At 32.1% G+C, this 25,671-nt stretch overlaps 1 annotated feature.

Annotated features, from left to right (window-relative positions):
- Window positions 7,662-8,183: an enhancer, noted in NCBI's record as "OCT4-NANOG hESC enhancer chr2:194829935-194830456 (GRCh37/hg19 assembly coordinates)". NCBI's record gives its function as "activates a minimal SCP1, AML or CMV promoter by ChIP-STARR-seq in naive H9 embryonic stem cells {active_cell/tissue: H9 hESC(naive)}" and the evidence as "EXISTENCE:reporter gene assay evidence [ECO:0000049][PMID:30033119]".

Raw genomic sequence — 25,671 nt, 5'->3', positions numbered from 1 at the left:
GCATGACCTCAAATGCATATAATATCCAGTTAGCTACCACTGATTATGCTAAGGTTGGCCATTTCTTAAGTATGATTCCTGTTATGGTTTGGATATGGTTTGTTTGTCCCCACCAAAACTCATGTTGAAATTTGATCCTAATTTGGTGATCTTGCGAGAGGGGGCCTGGTGGGAGGTGTTGGTTCATGGGAGTGGATTACTAATAATTGGTTTGGTGCCGTTCTTACGGTGGTAAGCAAGTTATCACTCTGGCAAGACTAGATTAGTTCTTGTGGGAGTGGATTCGTTCCCTCTTGAGAGTGAGTTATTATAAAGCCAGGAGCTTCTCTTTTCATGAGGTTCGTGTCGGCTTCCCCTTTGAACTTCTCACTATGTTTTGACCTAAAACGTGGCTCTTTCTCTCACCAGATGCTGAACAGATGCCAGTGCAATGCTTTTGGTACTTCTCAGTCTGCAGAACTGTGAGTTAAATAAATCTATTTTCTTTATGAATTACCCAGCCTCAGGTATTCTGCTACAACAATACAAAACAAACTAGCACAATTTATTTACTGATTATTTTTTATAATAACACCATTGCTGGTCAGAGTTATCCTAAGTAATAGTTTAGAAGGTTTTAAAAACAGAGTCCAAAGTTGCTCCTTTGGTAAGATAATCTTTTATAAAAGTATGTGTAGTGATGCTATCAGCCTAATATTCTTTTCACTACAGCATAAAGTAGACAGTATTTAAGCACAAAGTAGTCCAGTTGGCCAAGGTTTAAAATTTTCCCCATGGTTGGAGTTGTATCTCAATGTTCCCCATTCTTGTACCATTTCTCTGAAAACTTTCTTGAGATAAACTATGTATGACAAATGAAAAATAACAAATCCAACCAAAATGCTTTTGAATGTTTCCAATTTTATTTTTAATACAAATGCACAACCGAGCCAATTGTCAAGCTGCAGATTTAATAAACTGCCTGTGCAAAAAGTATAATGATTGTTAGTAAATGTAAATTTAAAGAGGTCACTAGGACAGTCCTCAATCTATCTGTGGTGAAGGATACATTTTATTTTTCAATTTCTAATATGTTTAAAAATATTCTGTAAAATGCAATAAAATGACTTACAAAAAATAAAAATGTTAAAGAGATCAAATGCAAATCCAGATTATTAACATGAGAATCCATAGACGTAAAACAATATTCAGTAAATATACTCAGAATAAATATAACACAGGAGGAAAGAAACCATTACTAAAAAAGGATAGATTTTTATTGAAGATATGTGAAGATAGTATCATATAGAATCAAATTTATGTCTACAGCTTGTTTTGCACTTATAAAGAAATGAAAGTTATGAGTGAAGTAGTGATTTGCTGTATTTAATGCCTATATATGTAAACATTCAGCTTGTATTTTGCTTCTAAGATATATTTATATAGATTAGACTGATGATTATGAAATTCTCAAGGGGTAATATTTATCTAGATGGTTATTATGTTTTCTTTTATTATATTCATAGTAGAGAAACATATGTCACAGAAAGAAAATAAGAAGTGAAATAACATGAATTGATGAGAAAAAAGCAATTTTAAACATAACTTGACAATGCTTAGGTTAGTAATTTTTGTGTTATCTAAAATGATGCAAATAATTCTTTATTTAAGTTTTTAAAAATTAATCATAAGTTCTTTTTTAAAAGATGATTTTAGTGATGTATCTTGTAAATTTGTAATTAAAATTGATTTTTTAATAGAAATTATTCTGGATCCATGAATTTTTTATGCATAATCTTTTGATGAAAAAAAGAGAAATATTATACTCCAAATGTAAAGCAATTGGTAATAATTATATAGAGAACAAGCATCACTCATAACTTTATTTATAATTGTTAAATTATTGAACTTATCATTATGAATTATAGTAACCTTATTCTCTCAAGAGTCACTTCTCTTTTGGCCCTTTGAAAATACATTTTACTTCTGTCTTTTATAAAAATATTAAGATTATTTTCAGACAAAATATAAAATAAAATAATAGTTATGGAAGCCCAATTTACATTATTAAATACATGTGACCAAACTGTTTTTTTTTTTGTTTTGCCTACTGATATGATTTGCCCCTGTCCTCAGCCAAATCTCACCTTGAATTGTAGCTCCCAAAATTCCCATGTGTCATGGGAGGGACCCAGTGGTGGATAATTGAATCATGGGGATTGGTCTTTCTCCTGCTATTCCTGTGATAGTGAATAAGCCTCATGAGATCTGATGGTTTTAGAAAGGGAAATTCCCCTGTACAAGCTCTCTCTTGCTTGCCGCCCTGTAAGATGCTCCTTGCCCTTCCGCCATGATTGTGAGGCCTCCCCAGCCATGTGGAATTATGAGTCAATAAAACCTCTTTTTTAATAAGTTACCCAGTCTCAGGCATGTCTTTATCAGCAGTGTGAATATGGACTAATATACATACTCAATAAGAGTTCTTCATATAATTAAAACATTTTAAATAACTTTTCTGGACTGAGCTTTATAATAGGCTTTCATATTAACATGGAATAAGGAGATCATCTCAAATGTAACACATTGGGTTTTGTATGAATAACTGTTTTTACTTTGCCATTTGCCACATTATATAGTTCAACTGATATTTTTTCTTACCAAGAAATTCTCAGTGAAGGAAATAATGTGTTGATTTTTATTTTGGTACATCCTTCTTAATTTGAGTAACAATTATGCTTTCCTATCATTGTACTGCACCATTGTAACATAATTGCTACGGTTTAGCTCAAATTTGTCCAAGCAGGCAGCCTGTGGGCCACCTGTGTCCCAGGACAGCTTTGAATGCGGCCCAACACAAATTCATAAATTTTCTTAAAACATATTAAGACATTTTTTGCAATTTTTTTAGCTCATTACCTATGGTTAATGTTAGCGCATTTTAGGTGTGGGCCAAGACATTTATTTTTCTTCCACTGTGGCCCAGGGAAGCCAAAAGATTGGACACCCCTGATTTAGATCTTTGTTCTTTCAAAACCTCATGCTGAAATTAAATCCCCAATGTTGGAGGTAAGACCTAATGGGAGTTGCTTAAGTCATAGTGGTGGATCCCTCATGAATAGATTAATTCTATTTGTGGAATAGCTCCCCTTGCAGAATAAATAACTTCTCATTTTATTAGTTCCCTGGAGACCTGGTTGTTAAAACGAGGATGGCACCTCCCCTCCCACTCCATACTCTCTTTTCCTCTCTCGCCCTGTGATCTCTGCACAGAATGGCTCCCCTTCACCTTCTGCTATGAGTGGAACCCATCTGAGGCCCTCACCAGATGCTCAATCTTAAACTTTCCAGCCATTCGAATTGTGAGCCAAATCAGCCTTTTTTCATCATAAATTAACTGGCCTTAGGCGTTCCTTTATTTTAAACACAAAATGGGATAAGACTATTGATACATAGTCTTTCAAATTCATAAGTATTCTAAACTAGGGAAAAGATAAACCTTTTTTATTATTACTCTTGCTTTACTACAGATTTAAGCAAATATGTCAAGGTATTATTTTGGGTTTGGAAATTATATCTTGTTTTATATGTTAAACACTGCTTACATTTGATAGTTTCATTGCTTAATTAGCCAGTGCAACTCTGCAAATAATGCGTTACAGTTTTAGCACTTTAAACTTGATGGCTACAAAATTAAACTCAATATATAAGGGATCACAATTCTGAGTAAATAATTCCATATTTCTTTGGAATTACTTCCATTACACAGATTTGCTATCACTACCTTATATAGAAAAGCATATACAAAGAAGTTTTTTAGAAACACTCAAATACAACTTCTAGAGAGAACTACAATGTTTGAGATGAAAACACACTAGACAGAGTAATGACCAATTAAACATTGCAGAATAAAAGATTATTAAACTTGAAGATACAGTAAAACAAAAATCTCAAAAATAAGCATAATGAGAAAAAAGGATTTTTAAAAATGAAAATAGCACCAGTGAGCTGTGCTATATCTTCAAGTAGCCTAATACTGCAAGTGGTGATTGCAGTCCTTGTAAGTGGAGTTGGGGGAGGGATTGTAGAAAAAATGTTTGAAGCCACAATAGTTGAATGCATTCCAAGTTTGACAATAGCTGTAAACTTAAAGACCTAAGAAGTTCAATAAACCCCAACACAAGAAACATGAAAAAAATACAAAGCACATCATCATTGAATTGTTTAAAAACAGAGATAGAGATAAAATTAAAAGCAGCCATACATTTTCTGTATAGACCAGATGGGATAGACTTGTCTCCTTAGGTTCCTCCCTACTACATTCAACTATAAGCCTTGAAAATAATGCAAGAGATAACCAGAGAAATTCTGAAAGGCGATAAGAGGAAGGTGAAGATTAGAGGGGCCAGGAACAACATTTTGGCAAGTTTTTTTTTTTTAAATCACACAATTACATTCCATATAAAGTTGAGAATATTTGATAATTTTTTAGTGTTCATTAAAACAAAAAGATAGCATCGTCATTACAAATAATTCTAATAGCAAAAAAAAAGAGAAAAAAGATAAAGGAGAAAAAGCATGGCGAGAATCTTGGGAAATCAATGATCTTTAATCTTTGCATGTTAGATGTAACATATATAAAGGACTTAAATGTTAGAAGAATTACTATCAACTGTTCATGCCAGCATTTGTTTCACTTTATGTGGGGCTAGTCTCACTGATTTTCATTATATGAATCAGTTCTTCACATACCAGCAGCAGATAAGACAGAGAGCACAATCACCTTATTCTCTGTATAGATGGAAACCATACCACAGTGGAATAAGCTTATTGTTTGGTTAGCATATGTTTGTGTGCCATGTTTACATAAGAAAAGATGCACTTAGATGAGGAAAACAAATATAAATGCATTTTTTTGTTGAAAATCATTTTTGGTATGTGATAGATTGCTAACGAGTGTCAATCTACACATGATTATATGACAGATATAAATCCGCAGTAAAAAACATGTCACTTGATTTGACTTAGTGCTAAAAAAAAAATGTAGACATTGTGACCACTACTAGAATAGTTTCCAGAAATGGAGAGTGAGTTCTGGCCTACCTTTATATACAGAAGTCTTCTGTCTTCTAAGGGAAAGATAATAAAATGAAAATGGTAGTACAAAGCATGTCTAAGATTACAAGTAGTCTTGTCAAAAACCTCCTGATGACACCATGGTGAGGCTTAATATATTTTTATGTTTCTTTTTTTTCAAATACAATGCCTAGCACCACGACCGATGTTCTTGAGAATTTTAATTAATGACTAGGAAAACATATAAATGAAAGTATTGGTAAAGAAGTTAACTAAAAATATATAGTGCTGAATCCAATTACAAAATTTAAATTGTGAACTCATAATTTACAAATAAATTCATAAGTGAATTTATTTTATTGAGATTCTACCTGCTATTTATATATAGGAAATCTTTATATATATTCATGTGTATACACACACACACACACACATATACATGTTTTCAGTTTCATACAAATATACATATATATAGCAAATATTATTCTCCCAACTGACTTGATCTAGTTACATTTATCAAAAGTGCATAATTCCTCCAATACTCTACAGTTTCTTCTTTGGTATAAATAATGTGTTACTTTCTGTACTTTTATGTACAATTTTCTATCTCTTCACAAATACTTTTAGTAACTAAGTAATGCCTTAATTACTACAGTTTTAGTAGGTCAACATATTTTATAATGTAAATTCTCCAGTCTGGTTTTATAAATTCAGGATTACCTGGGGTTTTCTTGATTTTTTTATATGTTCATTATAGCATATACTAGGATTGGTAATACACTGATGAGATTTTGAGTGAAATTATGTTGGAAATGCAGATCAATTTTGAGAGAATATTCTAATGAACATCTCTTAGTAATGCAATCCATTCACTTAAGACTTACTATATTCAGTAAAGTTTTATAGATTTTCATATCATTGTCAGATTTATTTCTAAATCTGAAGCTGATTTGTATAGTACCAAAAAGGATATCCTTTAATTTTATTTTATAATCTCTGTTCTAATAAATATTTTAAATTTTTACTTGCATTCAGAATTCTTGCTGAATTCATTTATTAATTCTAATATTTGATTCTTTGGGCTTTCTATCTGCACATCAAGTTTTCTGCAAATAATCTCAGCTATATTTCTTCCTTCTCAAATGATTTTGTCAGTTCTTGTTTTCAAATTGTGTGAAAATTCCAATGTCATATTGAATAAAAATAATAATGAACAGCTTTTTTCATGCCATACTTCAAATAGGAGAACATCAATAGTTCATGATTAATTAAGACATTTGCTACAGAAATTTGTAGCTATTCTTTATCAGATTAAGGACACTTTTTTTCATATGATGCTAAAAATTTCAAATTACAGTAGTCCTTTCTTATTAGCAATTTTGCTTTCCATGGTATCAGTTACATGTAATCAACTGAGATCTGAAAAAATTAATGGAAAATTTCTGAAATAAACAATTAATAAGTTTTAAATTGCAAGCCATTCTGAGTAGTATGATGAAATCTCAGGCAGTCCTGCTCTGTCTGGCTCAGCATGTGAGTCAGCCCTTTGTCTAGTGTATCCAAGCTGTAAACACTCCCCACAGGTTAGCCACTGAGTAGCCAGCTCAGTTACCAGATCAACTGTATTTTTTTTTAGTGCTTTTGTTCAAGTAACCTTTATTTTACTTAGTAATGACCCCACAGAGCAAGAATAGTGATGCTGACAATTTAGATATGCCAAAGAGTTAGCCATAAAGTGCTTCCTAGAGAGGACAAGGTGAAATTTTTGACTTAGTAAAAACATAAATAAATAAATGTATGCTGAGGCTGCTAAGATCTATGGTTAGAATGAATCTTCTATCCATAAAATTGTGAAGAAGAAAAAAGAAATTTTTACGTATATAGGATTCAGTTCTATCCGTGGTTTCAGGCATCCACTGGGGATCTTGGAAAGTATCCTCTGTGAATAAATGGGGACTCCTACATATAACTAGGGGCATTAAATTTCAAATTAGGTTAAATAATGTTACCTCTGCTGTACCTGAATCATTTCCAAGGAAATATGCAGGCACAGATCATTTGAAGAGAATGTTTCCAGATAAACAACTTCTATGTCTTCTTTTCCCTAAAGTGAATGCCTAATCTATATTTTTAAATGCACACATAGAGTTCTACATGCATACATAAATACATAAATGCATATATGCATGCCTACCTACACATAAACACATACATACATATATATGTACCTATCCACATATATACATAAAAATATTTCTCACCCATCTAGAATGTAAATAGATGCAAAGAAAAAAGACATTTAAATTTTGATGTCTCAAAGAAGAACAGACCACTGGGGTCGACTAGAAGGTGAAGGGTAGGAGGAGACAGAGGAGCAGAAAATATAACTATTGGGTGTTGGGTTTAATACTTGGGTTATGAAATAACCTGTACAACAAACCCCCATGACGCTAGTTTACCTATGTGGCAACCTTCACGTGTACACCCGAATCTAAAATAAAAGTTAAAACAAATGGTGTCCAAGAGGTCTCCTTTAATAAAGGCATTTCCCTGCCTAATACGTTTTCTGAATTAAGGTGAAGCTTGACTTTTTGAGTGATGTGTCTGTGTTCATGTTTTTATACTCTCAGTTACATCGTAGACTAGTGTGTATTAGTCCGTTCTCATGCTGCTAGTAAAGATATAATCGAGACAGTGAATTAATAGAAAAAAAAAAGAGGTTTAATTGATCCACAGTTCAGCATGGCTGAGGAGGCCTCAGGAAACTTACAATCATGGCAAAAGACACCTCTTTACAAAAGACACCTCTTTACAGGGCGGCAGGAAAAAGAATGCCTGCCAGCAGGGGAAATGCCAGATGCTTACAAAGCCATCAGGTCTCATGAAAATTCACTATCACAAGAACAGCATGGGGAAAACAGCCCCCATGATTCAATTACCTCCCACCTAGTCCCTTCTGTGACATGTGGGGATTACGGGGATTACAATTCAAGATGAGATTTGGGTGAGGACACAGCCAAACCATATCAATTAGGGTAAGAGCAATAGTAATTTTTGCTTAAGAACCGTGCCTCCACTATCTATCAAATATTGCAAAGAATTCATGGCTCCCCAGAAGGAGTCCCAAGGGAGCAAAGCAAATATAGCCTCATTAAATAATACTGAAAGGGACAGGACTTTATCTTATCCAGGTATGAAACTCAGGGCAAGGTTACATGCCTCCTGTATGTATAGTAATTTATCTCTCTAGTTTATTGTCTAATCGTCTGTATTGGTTTGTTGGGTCAGCTTTTACAAAATAACAAACTGGTTGGCTTCAGAGAACAAATTTATTATCTCACAGTTTGGGGGGTTGTAAGTTCAAAATTATGGTGGCAGCAGGGCCATGTTCTTTCTAAAGACAGACAATAAAAATACTTTATTGCCTCTTCTTAGCTTTTGGTGGTTGCCACTTCAAATCTCTGCCTCTATCTTTTCATGGCCTTCTTGCCTGTGTTCATGTCTGTGTATCTGCACATGGCATTCTCTGCTCTTTATGTCTCCTATAATGGCACCAATCATTGGATTATGGTAGACGTTAATCCAGTCTGACCTCATCCTAACTTGATTACACCTGAAAGGACCTCATTTCACAATAAGGTTACATTCACAGTTACCAGAGGTTAGGACTTGAGGTATCATTTTGGAAAACACAATTTAATCAATCTATGCATCTGTCTATCATGTTTACCAAATCTCCTTAATATTATAATTAGAAAGAAATAGGTGTGTGCCTCAGAATCTTTAGAGAAAAAATTACTGTCATATTACTTTATGTTTACCACAGAAAATATTTTTAAATTGTGCATTTCCTCTAGATCTTGGGAGACACTATTATTTTTCCAGTAGTTTCAAATTTATTTATAGAATCTATACTTGCCTTTTTAACATTGACAATAAAACTTTATGCATTTATAGTATGCACCTTTATCTTTTGAAATATGTATACATTGTGGAATAAGTCAAGCTCCTTAACATGTCACATACTTCACATACTTATCAGTTATTTGTGATGAGATCACTTAAAATTTACTTATGTTCCTTTGACTGATGGCAAATCAATCTAGGCCCTATGTTTCCTTTACCCAGTTTTTGAGGAGTTTCTTAGTTTCTTCTCTATTCTCCAATCCTTTTTTATCTACTATGGTTTAAATTATGGTCTTTATATTCACATTTAGTTATAGTACAGATATTAATGACTTCTACCAAGTAAATTTCTATATCTAAAAGTAATTCAGTATATTGAGGAGGAACACAATGAGGCAAGCTCCTTTCAAGTTGTGGTTGTTCTAGAATCAGGGATAATGTGACAACTCTTTGTTCACTAGGTTTAATATATAACACATCTAATCAGGCACAGGTCTATGCTCTTCCAAATTTCAACCCTTACAAAATTCCTTTGCTATGAATTTTCATATTAAATATACCAGGACCTGTTTTCTTATATGGCCTGCCGTATTTTCATCTTGACAGCATTTTAAGAAATGTAATAAGAGATCTTTGGTGTAGGTATGACTCTCGCTGGCTTTTGTGCAGAAGGTTTGACACCTAAGTATTTAATCAGTGTTATGCCAGCCTTCCCCACTTAGGGGAGCTAGTGGCAAGAATTGAAGCATTTCTGAACAGCGCTGCCTTTATTTTGGTTTAGAGGATAAAGTATACATAAATTAGCTATTCAGAAACACTGATGATGCAATCAGTGGACATTAGTTTAGGTATTTTCCTGTAAAGATACTAAACAAAAAACATTGTCGATAGTTGTCTACAGAAGGATCACTGTTAAAGCTCTATTTAGATTGTACTGGTTTGCTACAACATAAATGTATCTACAATACTTTGTTCAATCCCATTTATGAAGGATTTAAAGCTGTGTACAAAAAAAGTACTTATAATATTTTAAAAACAGAAAATTGAAATAGAAAATCCAGACAAGAAAAAATATAAATATACATAGATACTGAAGACCAAGTACTTGAGAAGACAAGAATGCAGATTAGAAGAGACAACATATTCTGCAGGCCAAATTAAAACAGAATGAACTAATTTTCATAATTAAAGAAAAGTAAACCTATCTATTTTAGAGAAAACATTTTTCTAACATTGATTTCTAAATGGAATATTTCATGTGTCACATTTTTAGAAAGGATACTGGATGATATAATGTACACTTGTCACAAACCTATCTTGAAACAGGTGCAGCAAGGGATTTCATATGGTTATTTTTTGTCATATTCTGAAATAGAAATCAAGTGAGCAGCATTTCAAAATGAAATTCTGTAAAGGATATTCTGCAAGGTGTAATATTACTTTCTGAAAACCTATAATAAATGTAGTAAGTAACCTGCCCATGGCAGGAAATGTTTACATAAAAATTGGTACAAAACAGTTATTTCCTGGCTTACTCCCACTGGCTAGATCAGTGTAACAATCTTCTGTGTTGGCCCTATTTGCTGCACCTGAACTATTGGGGATGCCACTCATACATTAACTGATCTAATTTCCAGATTACTAAAGATGGCCCTGAATTAAGCCTGTTGTCTCAAAATAATTATTAATAGTCCCTTTTCATCCTCAAAAGTGTTCAGGTCTGGATGATAAATTATATTGTCAACCTCATTATTCATAAGAGGTTATTGTCTTAACTATCACAGTTACCAACTCAAGTAATTTTTCAGCTTTATCAATGTTAGGCACATACAGGTATCTCTTTTGCACTTACTTTTGCTATCACACCTGATACTCGGTAGCACTTCTAGTATAATGATATAACAATAACAGCGTGTGCTGTGGGCAGGCAAACTGCTAGGGTTCAAATTTTGCTGTGACCACTTGTTGACTGCAAGACCTTAAGTTACTTATCCTCTCTATGACTTGATTTACTCACTTATAAAATGGGGATAAGAATGGTGCCTATTTAATTATAAAGGTGTGAAAGTTCACAAGCGGAAAGGACTAGGGATTTAGTGAGCATACAACCAGTGTGAACATTTTCCTTTGACATTCTTGGTTATACTCAATCTTCTCTCCTTTTTGAAACGTTTTTCAGCTTACGTATACCTGATTTTCAGTGTCCTCTCATGTCACATCCTGAGACAGACACCCAAACTTGTTCTTCCTCAATTTAGGAGAAGCTCTCTCAGGAACTAAAGGCGTTCAAGTGTAGAAAAATCTAAACTGCAGTGTGCCAGAGAGAAATATTTTATTTTTTGTTTGTGCTGATATTCATAGGAAAGTTACAATTTTAGAGAGAACTTATCATCAAAAGAAACAGCAAAACAAGGCAAAAACACAAGGTGATAACCTGAGTCAACCTACCCAATAGGGTAAACAGGGAGATTAGAAACCAGAGACTAAGGATCTGCAATGGAGTTTAAACGTGACCCACAAAATATGGAGTCTACAGCCAACAAAAATGTATCCCAATCTTTACAGGCTGCAGAGGCTGATGCTTTTTTCAATTTTGTGCCTCCTGGTGTTTGTCATAAATCAGACCTCTGATGAAGCCTTGGTGTGAAGGATATTAGTTCCTTTATATGTACAAATATGAGGAAAGTGAAAACTGAAAAATCATAGTTCTTTGATTCTTTATGCTGTCTAGTTTAGTGCATTAACTATTGTTCATTAATAATAATGCTTACTGTTGATAAATAATAATACAATTGATTTGTAAAAACATAATCAAAAAGTAAAAAAAACTCATATGGGAAACATTCATAACATATATAATAGAGAAGGGAGTAATAATTTTTTAAGTGAGGAGATGGATTTTGGAGAAAGATTACACATATATTTGGTTAGAATAAAATTATGTAACAGAAAGTTAAATTTTGTAAAAAAAAAAGATGACTTGTACAGATGAGTAAAAATGAAACAAAAAGAATCTTGTGAGCCAATATAAGGAAAATAAACATCATTAGCCAATATAAGGCAAAACACATTGATGAAATCATATTGCATATGTGCTCTGGCTAAAAATGGCTGAAACGCTGAGACATGGGCCTGTTCTGTCATTATCCAAGGTATAAATAATGGCAGAGGCAAAGGTAACAACACTAGCTAAAACAAAGTCAGCTATGTAGGGGGAAAAAACCCAAAATCTATTTTTTGTCATATGCAGCATATTGAAATCTTCTGTCCCTCTCGACCAGCTGTAAGAATTCCAAACGTCTTTTCTGCCAACAAGTTTTTCATATCCAAAAAGGCAGGTGACTCTGATGGTGACCTTGCTATTGAAACAAGGTAAATAGCCTGCAGCAGTGACAGGATCTTGACACTGAAGTAAAAAATCTCTCTTGTTGCAACTCTCTAAGCACTTAGCCCAATACATTGTTGCATTTGTCAATTAGACAGAAATAGCTAATTCAGTCTGGCACTGTATGAAATGTTAAAGAAACTGAAAAGAACAAGCATAAAACATAATATATAGTTTACATATTTGTCACCTCCTATTTATAATAGTCCAAGGTGACACAAATGCAAGTTATAATAGTAAAATCCCTGATGTCAGATGCAGAACTATCTCAGAGTAATTTTAGCAATAATTTAATAAATAGGTGGGAGCTCTTATTTTAAGTTGGTAAAATTGGCTCATCAACACTAATGATGCCATGCAATTTAAAAGATCCTAAAAATTTTCTGCAATTAGCAATGAATATAATTATAGTAATATTCATAAATTGGCTAGTTATTGAGTAATACTTGTCAAGAAGTATGCTAAGTACAGTCAAGCAGTAACTAAATACAGTATATGGTATAAGTTAAACACTAACAAAAAGCAAGTGAGGTATATAATATTATTATTCTTTTTATAGAGTAGAAAATAGTTTTAGAGAGGCATTGTAATTACTGAAATATGCAGAGCTTGTCAGTAAGTGCGTCTATTTGAACTTAGACACAAAGAAAATATGAAATTCATTATATTGATATTACAGATCCTGAAAGTAATCAAAACAGAATCTGGCCAAACCCTTTCCTGATACAGTGGCCATATTCTGTATTTAAAAACACAATTACAATGAAGAATTATGTTCACTTTCTTACAGGTAACTTAGTAGAGGGAAGTAAATCAGTTTTCAATATTTTGAAGACAAAATTATCAAAAAATAATATATATACACTGCGGAATTATGTATCATTTTAGCTTTCAACTTATGAAAATTTGTCTATGGGCAGGGTGACTAGAAGTTACCAGAGAGACAGAAGAGAGGTCTACATAAAGGAAGAGCATAAGTGAAGTAATGAGTGAGAGCAAAAGAAAAACTATATATATATATATATTTTTTTTTTTTTTTTGAGACAGAGTCTCGCTCTGTCGCCCAGGCTGGAGTGCAGTGGCCCGACCTCCGCTCCCTGCAAGCTCCACCTCCCGGGTTCACGCCATTCTCCTGCCTCAGCCTCCCGAGTAGCTGGGACTACAGGTGCCCGCTACCGCGCCCAGATAATTTTTTGTATTTTTAATAGAGACGGGGTTTCACCGTGTTAGCCAGGATGGTCTCGATCTCCTGACCTCGTGATCCGCCCGTCTCGGCCCAGGCGAAAAACTATTATTTTTATTAGCAATTGATCTACCAAATAATGTTTGGTTCAAAATAATAAAACAATGTATTCTGTGATTATAGCTTTATAGCTTATGGATAAGTGAAATGAATGACAGGAATAATATAAAGTATAGAAGAAGGAACTGGAAATACATTGTTACCTGTATTATAGGGTACTTGTATTATCCATGAAGTTGTACAATGTTGTTTAAAAATAGACTTGGAGTAGTTGTAAATGTATATTGCAAACTCTAAGACAAACATTTTAAAAAGTGGCAAAAAGGGCCGGGCGTGGTGGCTCACGCCTGTAATCCCAGCACTTTGGGAGGCCGAGATGGGCAGATCACGAGGTCCGGATATCGAGACTATCCTGGCTAACACGGTGAAACCCCGTCTCTACTAAAAATACAAAAAATAAGCTGGGCGTGGTGGCGGGCGCCTGTAGTCCCAGCTACCAGTAGGCTGAGGCACGAGAATGGCGTGAACCCGGGAGGCGGAGCTTGCAGTGAGCCGAGATCGCGCCACTGCACTCCAGCCTGGGTGATAGAGCGAGACTCCGTCTCAAAAAAAATAAAATAAATAAAAATAAATAAATAAATAAATAAAAATAAAAAGTGGCAAAAAGAAGTATAATTTACATGTTAAGGAAAGAAATTCAATCAAAATGCTCAATTGATAAATGGAAAATGAAATAAAATAGAAATACTAAAAGTTACAAAGATCATTACTGAAGTTAAAAGTATTGTATTTCAACAGTAGATTAACAGGAAGAAAAGATGTTTAAGCTAAAATACAGGTTGACAGAAAATATATTTTTTCTGAATCACAGAGGGAAGAAAAAAGATAAGATAAAGAAAAATATTCTACCAGACACATGGGAATCAGTGACAAGGCCTGACATATACATTACGGGAGCACCAGAAGACGCAGTAGAATGAATGTGTCAATGGCAACAGTTGAAGATATACTGAAAAATTGATGGACAAAATGCCAAAGATTCATCACGTTCTTTGAACTCCAAGCAGAATAAATAGATAAGTAGAAAGGAAATCACATTTAGACAAATGCATAGCAAAACTCCAAAGGAGCAAGGAAAAAGTCTACATTTTAAAAATCAGCTTGTGAGTACCCTTTCTTTCCAATACTCGAATTTGTATTGAAAAAGTAATGAATATGTAAATCAATTTGGGAAAATATAATAACTACAGTTTTGGGCCTTCCAAACCACTAATATAATAAATTCTACTATTTATATAGGTCTCCTCTACTTTCTTTTCAAAGCAAATATTTTTAGACTGAATAAGATACACTACAAATAATATGAGGCATACAAGAGACATACAAATATTAAGAGCATGACTATTTGAGAGTAAAAGAAGGGAAAGATATACTAAAAAAGTTAAGCTCACAGAAAAACTGATATATATTTAATACACAGAGTTAATATATCATATCAAGCATATTAGATTTTAGGCTATAAAATACGACTAGTGATGAGGATAGATATTCCTAAATGATAAAAGACTAAATTAGGCAAGAAGATATTTCAACTCTCAATGTATATACAATTCATAATACAGTTTTAAAATACAAAAGCATGTAGTAACACATCAGCAGAAATGGAAGAATAGGGAATTCTAAGGGCCCATCCCCCCACAGAAACACTAATAAATTTAGCACAATCTGTCAGAATCAACTTTGTCAAGATAACCCATGTTTTAAATGTATTCCAAATTTAAAACGTCTCTTAATTTTGTATGTGTATTAAACATAGCATCACTGCTTTTGAAAAATGAAGAATAAAGAGAATTCATAGGCAGGCATGGTTACAAAACAGTCAAGTAGTACCAGACAAAAACAAGATCTGCCTTTACAGCTATAAATATAACTAAAAATGCCTTACCCCTATCTATTTCTCTCTCTCTCTCTCTCTCTCTCTCTCTCTCTATGTATCTATCGATCATCTAACATATCTAACTTGAAAGGTAATATTTGGAAAGAATGGCTACCTAAAGCCATATAAATTGGAAGACAAAAGACTGTCTTGTCTGTCCAGGGCAATAATAATAATAATGTATATTTCCTCAGAAAGTATATAAAATTTTAAATATTTTAAAACAAAAACTGAAGAATATTTATTTAGAAATAGTGAGTGGTGTTTCTGTGGAAGAACAGGCCCCTGGAGCTGCCTGTTCTGCTATTTTTGCTGTTGTCAAGTAGGAGTTAAACCTTGGTACTCGTGGGCATAAAGATGGCAGGGAGTAGGGCACGGAAGGAAAAACTAACTATTGGGTACTATGTTCACTACCTGGGTGACAAGATCATTCATATCCCAACCCCAGCTTCATGCAATGTAGCTATGTAACAAACCTGCATCTCTTTCCCTTAGATGTAAAATAAAAGCTGAAATTATATTAAAAAATTAAACTTTTATAGCAATCCAGCAATTACTGAATCAGAAATAAAAGTAAAATGTTAGAAATAACTTTTTCTTGGGGTGATTAAAATATTTTGGAATTCACATAGGTAGTAGCTATACACTATTATTAAAGCTCATAGAAATGTACACTTTAAAAGATTTAATTTTATATTATGTGAATGTAACATCAATAACAAACAATTCAAAAGCAGATATAGAACTAGTACGAGAAATAGACACATCTACAGCACACTTAAATATTTTAACACACCCTACTTTTAGGAACTGAATAAAATCACCAAAAAGTGTAAAGACATTGAAATACATGTAATTTCCATCCAGCAACTGCAAAACACACATTGTTTACAAGTACAGAAAGAATACTTACCAAAATGGACTATATCCTGGGCCTTAAGTTTAGTCAGAAAAAATTTAAATTAGTAAAATATACAGAAAATATGTTTCTGACCACAGCAGAATCATACCAGCAATCCTATTACTGGGTATATACCTAAAGGAATATACATTGTTCTATTATAAAGATACATTCACATGTATGTTCATTGTAGCACTATTCACAATAGCAAAGACATGGAATCAACCTAAATGCCCATCAATGATAGGCTGGATAAAGAAAATGTGGTATATATACACCATGGAATACTATACCTCCATAAAAAGGAACGAGATCATGTCCTTTGCAGGGACATGGATGGAGCTGGAGGCCATTATGTTTAGCAAACTAACACAGGAACAGAAAGACAAATACCCCATGTTCTTACAAGTGGGAGCTGAATGATGAGAACACATGGACACCTGGGGAAACAACACACACTGGGACCTGTCAGATGGTTGGGGGTGGGAGGAGGAAGGTCATCAGGAAGAATATTTAATGGATGCTGGGCTTAATACCTGGGTGATGGGATGATCTGTGCAGCAAACAAGCATGGTACACGTTTACCTATGCAACAAAACTGCACATCCTACATCCTGCACATGTACCCCTGAACTTTAAAGTTAGAAATTAAATAAAAAAAGAAAATCCTCAAATATTTCTCTCTCCAGATATATAATGGCAGGCTGATTATCTGTAATCTGAATTTCTATCTGTCTTCAACTCAAGAAACTAAAAAAAAAAAAATTTAAGAAAGTGGAAGAAAAAAACAAAAATAAATGAAGAAAGCAATGAAATAGACAAGAAAAAATACAGTAGAAATCTAAGAAACTAAATCTTGTTTTTTTAAATAATAAAATTGACATATATTTAGAAACAGGTTAAGTAAAAGTACTAAGAAGACAAAACATATCAACAAAAAGGAGTAAATGAAAGTTATTACAGGGGTTTTGAAAAAATAATAAGTTAAAAAAAGACTATCGTGACATATGCAGCAGCAATAATGTTGAAAATTCATATTGATAGCACAAAGATTTAATTAACTAAAAATATATATTTGTGTATTTAACCAAAGATGTAAGTGTGTAGTATATCATTTGTAATAAATATTTATATGTTTGTTTCTATTTTTGAAGCTATATAGTTTTTTCTATTTATATTGTCATATACTTTCCAATACTTGAATTTTTCAATACTGTTTTCTAGAACTCCAGAAATATTTTTCACAGGTTTATATACAAAAAAGCATATAAAATACCTCCTTTAGAGACTTATTATCAAACTTAATCTTGTAGTTAACATAAATATATTTAAATAAAAGCTGTCTTTAATTTAAAGGGCCACCAAAAGCTATCTTTACAAACTAGAAAATTGTATCATTTACATAGAAATGTACAAATAGCTGTTGACATTTAGAATTTTTTGATTTAATACAACTTACATATTTACCACATTATTAATAGTTTCTATATCAAATAAAGCAACCCTAAATTAAAAATCAAAATTAAAAATTGTCAACAGTGGCTCAAAACCCAGTATAAAATTTAAACGTTGCTTAAATTTATGATTGCTTTTTGTTCTATATGAATTTTGTTCAATTAAATTTTAAAATAGCTTTGTTTACTTCACTAAATACAGTTTATGCAATGTAGATTAACACCATATTAGCAGTATTTGAAATAAGAAGCCATGATGATTAAACTGTTAACATTTATTTAAATATACCCTGTGAACAAACACACTCCAATGGTCATAACATGTATTGATGGGATATTAACAATTGTAAAACCTTAAAAGTGTATAGATAGTATATCTTTCAACAACTAACAGTTGTTTTTAAATTATTTAAAAGGCCAACATGAAATACCACAAAATTATCCTTGAATGTTCCTGATAATCTTTTAGGTTCATTAACATTTGAACCAATTACTCCCACTTTTAATCCATTAGCTTTTGATCCTAGCGCTGAGACCTGCAGGTGATATTCATTAATTTAAAGGCATGAAAGAAAACTTTCTTCTCTTAGAGCCAGCCCACTCCCTCCCACTCCACACAACTCCTTTCCCCAAAGGGAGTATCCTTTCCATTAAAGCTAAGTGGATCCTAGCTTCCTATGGCTGTACCTATATTTCCCTAAATAACTGGTGATAACAGCAAAGTGATGTGAGGGAGTAGGATATTACCGTAACCTCCTAGTTATCTAATCTATAATATTTAGTTTTTACTACTTATCTATTAAACATTTTTTAAAAGAAACAAGTCAGTCCACAACAATCTTCTGCTATAATCAATTTTGTCAGTGTTTACAGAATGCAATATAATGACCCAAAGGTTATATACTAACAAAGAGTGGGATGAAGTGCCATTATCTATTATATTTTATGATATTCATTGATATTCACTAATCTATCCTATAACCATTTAAATATACCAATAACATGTGACCAGGACTCTAATCTTTATATGTGGTGATTGGTGTTCTAGTGAGCACAATTAATTTTGCTACTTAAGTTTGTGTAAAACAAATGGTAAATAGGATTTCTTTCTGGTCATGCTTCTAAAAGCATATATTTAATTCTTGTATAGGTTTATATGACAGCAAGTGTTTTCTTAATATTTTATAAACAATACATTTTATTTAAAAATATTGTCTTCATGAAACCTAAGATATATTTCCAAAATTATTTACGTATCTTCTGATCACATGCTTTTATTCATTAATTTTAATAATAATATCTATTCTTCTTATAGTGATGACAACATAAGGTGATTTAAAAAGTTTTGTCACATAAAGTCAGTTGAATAAATAGTTTGATTACTTGCTAGTTACTGTGCTTGTCACTGGAGACAGAAAGACAAATATAACATAATGCTCACATACGAGTAGCTGGTACTGAGCGCTCAGCATCATCCGTGTCCCATACAAAGCAACTCTACTGTCTAAGTAAGGCTGCTTTGTTGTGTGCTCACAAAGATCATCTCTCTTTTCTTCAAAGCAGTTATCTCAGATGACAACTATAAATTAGTTAGCATGATTATCTAATAGCTATCAATTTTGGCAGATAAATTCCATCAGTAGAAAAACTCATCCTTGTTCTCCAATATTCCTAGAAGTGCACAAGTTAACTGATGATTTTAAATACTCATTAAATATTTATCAAATGAATGAATAATATACTGAGATGTACAAAAACTCTAAGAATACATGTGAGTATAAGTATTCCTGTACACTCAAATCCATCTCTGATAACCCAAGTGTCATCAGCCCAAGGGCAACAAAAAGTCAAGATAGATATATTTATTATTATTATTAGAGAAGTCTAAAAAGTAAAATATCAAAATTTAAATAGCAACTCACATTAAAATTCCATATATTGTAGCAGTTAGCATTTTGTTACTATTTTTAGGAGTTGAAATCTACATAGATTTTGGCTGACAGCTCATCGTTTCACAAACTAAGGAAAATAATAAGTTGAAACACAACACCGATTAATCACAAACACCAGGAAGTATGCCAAATATTTTACATACATTTTTCCAATTTAATCTTTATAAGATTAAATTCTGGGAGGTTCTAGGTGGTTGGTTGTAGAGAAATAAAAAGGCTTAATGATTTTTTCTTCCTTGAACAGATAACTATTTGAAGAAATTGAAGCCATTACTGCTCCATGTTGACCAAACAAGTGTGCTATTTTTTAAAAATACATTTTCTTGGAAAAACCCAATGGCTTAATATCACGTGGACATTTCTAAACATATGATTCACATTTTATTACTTCTAGAAGAACTTTGTTGAAATTTCATATTTTATGTTCAAATAAATAAATGCTTCAGCAAGCTTGGTACTTTCACAGTACCATTTAAAATATATCATTTCATTTCTCAAGGCAGAGTATTTCAGAGGATAATTTATCAGAGAACACACATACACACACACAGTTAGACACACACTGTCTTAATATCAATACTGACATCCAGGTTCTATAATAAAATAATTTTAAGTTTCATTATTTAAGTTACTATGAAGCATATTGGTTTAAATGTAACTTACTTGAAACATCTTATTTCCATGATAAACTAAAAAAAAATGTGTAAGTGAATTAGTAATGATCTTAGCAAGGTTTTACGTTAAAAAAGCAATGCAGATGTGGCATGAACTGATTTGCAAAATTTGAAATGTGATGCCAGACAAGAAAATTCTGGGAGCTATTTGCTAAGAAATGTTATTAATTAAAAAAAAAACACAACAAAACCTCAGGAGTAAATATTTCTCAAATAATACACTTAATAATTGTAGTAGGCATTGTAGGCTGCTGGATCATTAAACAGAAAAATTAATATACATCAGTTATATACATATTTTTCAAAGAATGAAATCATATATAAAATATGTAGTTTTCCAGAGAATCTTTTTCTAAATATAGCAATTGTATATCATGGTGGATTGGCAGAGTTAATCAATATGTGAATGCATTTTTCTATGTTTTATATGTGGATGTGACAGATTACAAGTAACCAAAATAAATAAAAAATTTAGTTTATAAAAATGTCAAAAGAAAGGTAAAAAGTCAATGTTACTTTGTGAAAAAGAAGGGAAAACATTAAAATTATATTTTCAAACACATTTCTGGTAAGGATATGATTTCTTTTTAAAATAAATTGGGTGCAAATAATTTTCTTTCATTTTTTATGCAGTGAAGATTTCAATTGAGGTAAACAAGCAATGAGATATACCATATGAATTGATTTACTTGATAAAATGAAAATTACTTCATTAAAGCAAAGAGTAAAAGTGACTAATGACCAATTAAAAATGTTTATTTAGGTCACTAAATAAATGATTTTTGATTTGATTTGATTTTAAATGATTTTTATTATCTTTTTTATTTTATTTTAAATAAAATAAATAAAATAAAAAGTTTTTATTTTAAATGATTTAATATTGTTATAAACTTTCTGAGGAAGTATTATGAATTCTTGTTATTATGGTTCTGTACAGAAAACAGAACTTTTTGTCTTCCGTTTATTTGCCTTTAGGTAGCCATGGTTTCCAGTATCACTGTTCTTAGATAATAAATAGGTAGATAAATAACTAGATACACAATAAGACATTTTAGGTGTATTTATAGCTAAAAACACAGGCATTATTTTTGTGTGCAACTAGTTTACTGTTTTGTAATCAGGCATGCTTTTGACTCTCCTTTATACATTATTTTTCAAAAGCAGTGATGATATGTTTAATACATGTAGAAAACTAAGAGACAGATTTGGAAGAAATTTGAAATATACATGATCTTAACATATAAAATATTTTCAAGGTCAATAAATAATAACAACACTTAATTGAAAAAATAGGCAACAAAAATGCATAGGGAATTCACAGAAGAAAGTAACCAATAAAAATAAAACAAGAAGGCCAAGCACAGTGGCTCAGGCCTTTAATCCCAGCACTTTGGGAAGCTGAGGCTGGCTGATCACCTGAGGTCAGGAGTGCAAGACGAGCATGGCCAACATGGTGAAACCCTGACTCTACTAAAAATACAAAATATTATCTGGGTGTGGTGGCAGGCACCTGTAAACCCAGCTACTCAGAAGGCTGAGTTTATGTAATGTTCTCAATCGTAAATATCAGAATACACTGTAGAATCTTATATAAAAATAAATATATAGATTATTCAGTCTTGAAATTCTACTTCTTGGGAAATTCAACATATATGCTAATTCATAAGGCACTAATTCCTGAGAAATTTACAAACATCACTGTAATTGATTATATTAAATCCAACATTAGCCACATTAAAATGGAAGTGATCTCATGTTACTAGCTGTGTAAAATTTTTAATAGACATATAATTTAATATTATGCAAATGGTAAAATTATAACATTGAATAATATTAAATGGAAACATGCCAATCCAAACAATGCCTTATAGGAGTATATACCATGCCATGGAGATATTCTGAATAAAATATGCCTTATATAGGTATATACAAATTATTCAATTGTTAACTCCAACTGAGTTTATCATAACAAATAAATAAAAATGTGAATGCTGATGATGAGAGAAATAGAAGTCATAGCCAACTAAATCTTGGTTGAATTATACATCATTTACATTTTTCTTATAGTTATTCTGTGCTTCATAAGTATTTTATTATGAACATGCATCACTTTCATAATGAAGAAAATATGGCGTTTTAAAATAAATAATAAAATACAGCCTGAGAAGCAGCCTGAGAAGCAGATATGTAGCAGATCTCTTATTGCATTAATATATCATCATAGGATAAGCAGGTCTCTTATTTCATTAAATATCATCACAGCTTCATGTATAGGTTAGCTATGTTATGTCTTCTACAATTAAATGATTTAGAAAAAAGTACGTTTTAATGGGGGAAATAGCTTGTGGAGACACAAACTATTAAAAGGGAAATACATGTCATATGCTTTCTGTTGTGCCTAGAACTCAAACTATCAACATATCAGAGCCTAGTATGACTCTTGGATTAACATTTCAAAATTGAACCAACAATTACCAATGGTTTAATTTTTATGAAACACAAAATATAATATGCCTTTATTCTTTTAAATTTGAGGGCATTTAATAGTCTTCAATCATTTGCCGTTTAACAATTGTGAAATATACCTAAATTCATTACAAATTCTATGAAGCGTAAGAGTCTAACATTCTTTTTAGACAAGTCTCAAGAAAAGTTTCAAGGCACTGAAAATAAATTCATTATTACCTTTATAAAAATAGAAAATAAATAATTTTATATTTTTAGTGGACTTAGAGGACACCACATTTGAATGAGCTTTCAAATTAACCTGTATAGTATATTTACTTTGAGATTAAATTAGATTTTTTTTTCTTTTGACAGGGAGTTGAAAACAAGGCTACAGTCCGCAAGTCATGATACCACGATAAACATTTTAAAAGAGGAAAATTTAAGAAAATCCCAGTGTATTCACCTATGAAGTGTAAAGTCATGAACAACATGAGAACAATGCAACTATGGCACACATTTAGACGCTGTTACGAGTAACAACAAAAAAAATTTTGCAGCGTTTGAAATTATATTCAGCGTAACTTTTTGTACTTATATACACTACTACTGTATAAATTTAAAAAATTAATGTCATTAATTTCCTCTAAAAAGTGATTATTTTTAATTGGGCTAGTTTGCCTGCCAGGAAAACTTTCATGTACATTTTGTTGATTCAAATCAATAAAAATCCAGGAATAATGTGAGCTAATTATGCTTTAAAATGTGAATATAATATTTGTATCATAACAGGAGATCAATAAATGATTGTTGCCTCTGACCTCTCTTTTCCCACCCAACACACACACAGTTACATTTCATACTTGTGTCATACACAAATTATTTGTATATTGTTGTGGTTTGATGTAATGTTCTCTTTCATTCTTAGGCACTTGAGCTCTGGAGTCCATTGCTGGAGACAAATTCAAACTGCAGTGTTGCCACTTCTGGCATGTAACTTGGAAGAATTCATGTAACTCTTTGCATACCAATTTCTTCATTATAAAATAGAAGCAATAACACTTTCTCCATAATGTTATCGCGAACATTAAAAGACATAATACATAAAAATGCCTAGTACAGTACCAGGCAAGTAGTAAGCGACAGATGTTAACTATATTATCATTCTTTTTATTATTACAATCGGTATCTAATATGTCACACAATTTCCTTCTCAACTTTATTTTGTGTTGCTCATTATTACTTTCAACTAATAAAATGTCTATGTGGGCATGTATCTTCTGTTTTTAATTGAGCGTAGTAGAAATGTTAAATACTTGTTGAAAAATTGCGTAAAACTATAAGAACATTATTCACAGAAAAGGAAAATCAACTATTAGTGTTCCGTTCATTGAGTTAACAGGTATGGCCAATATGGAGTATGTATTATTATTTGGTCTGACAAAATGGATATTGTATAGGTTAAAAAGTAATTTAAATAAAACAAAATCTGTATACATTTTTATCCAAGCTCAATCTATGTATGTGTAAATGTAGCAGAAATGTGTTATTGCATTGAATATATTCACAGCAGAATTCGTTTCACAGCAGATTCAGAATAATGGCAAAATAAAACCATAAGCATTTCCCCCATCAAACATGTCAGCTGTTGGCAGAAAATTAAAGAAAACCACAAATCTCTGTCCTCTGCTTTGCCATTCAGTAGCATATGTTACTACAGGCCTTAGTGGCATGGCTTTTAACATGCCTCTAATAGCCAGTAAGATAGAAATTTAAAACAAAAAGATGAGAAATCAAATAGAAAGAAAAAAAACTGGGCAAAACTTTCAGCCTAATCAGACATTATCAAGCAGAAATCTGAGCTGACAGATTTACCTTTGGGAGGTACAGTCCTCCTGGAGGACTGACTAGCAGTCACTATCAATCAAAATAAAAATGTGTATGCTGATGATGAGAGAAATAGAAGTCATAGCCAACTAAATCTTGAATAGAAAAATCGTACATTTTGAAACTTTGCAAAAAGTTTATGAGAATATGATATAAGGGTGCAAAATAAAGATGTTGAGTATCTTGAAGTGAAGGAGAGAGAAGGAGAGGAGGAAAGGGAGGGAGAGAAAGAGAGAGGCACTAGATTAAAAGCCTTCCCAATAAAAAGACAGAATACAACTCAAATTTTTACTTTCCTTGAAATCCAATATTAATGAAATTCATGATCTACCATGAAAAGAACCAGAAAGGTAAAGTTATTAATAATCTAGAATAAATCATGACAGATCAATGTCATTTTTTAGTATTCCTAACATTTTATTTATTTAACCAAGAAGGGTAACTTAAGAATTCCTTGTCCATATGGATAGTTGTAGAGACAGTTAATTATAGAGACTGAGCACTATTCATCATTTGTCAAGCCTGTTCCAAGCAGATAAAAGGAAAATTATATGTCAAGTCTTTTAATCCATGAAAGTCTAATCTATTAATTAAAATGTTATATTTTATTTACAAGAGGTATGTTCAAAAACAAGTGCCATAAGGAATATTGAGATAGTAAGGATACTACAGTGGGGTCTCTTTCCTTCTTCCTCTCTCTTTATATGCATATATATTACTCTTTTATTCATATGCCAGTTACTTCCTATAGTTGCCAAAATAAATTACAATGAAATATATGCAAATACAAATAATAATATATTTTTCTTTTTTATGCTTTCATTTGAAAAAGGAAA

The sequence above is a fragment of the Homo sapiens genome, chromosome 2 (assembly GCF_000001405.40).
Source record: "Homo sapiens chromosome 2, GRCh38.p14 Primary Assembly".
NCBI lineage: Eukaryota > Metazoa > Chordata > Mammalia > Primates > Hominidae > Homo > Homo sapiens.
Note: the sequence above shows the minus strand (reverse complement) of the source record. Positions and strands in the feature narration are given on the sequence as shown.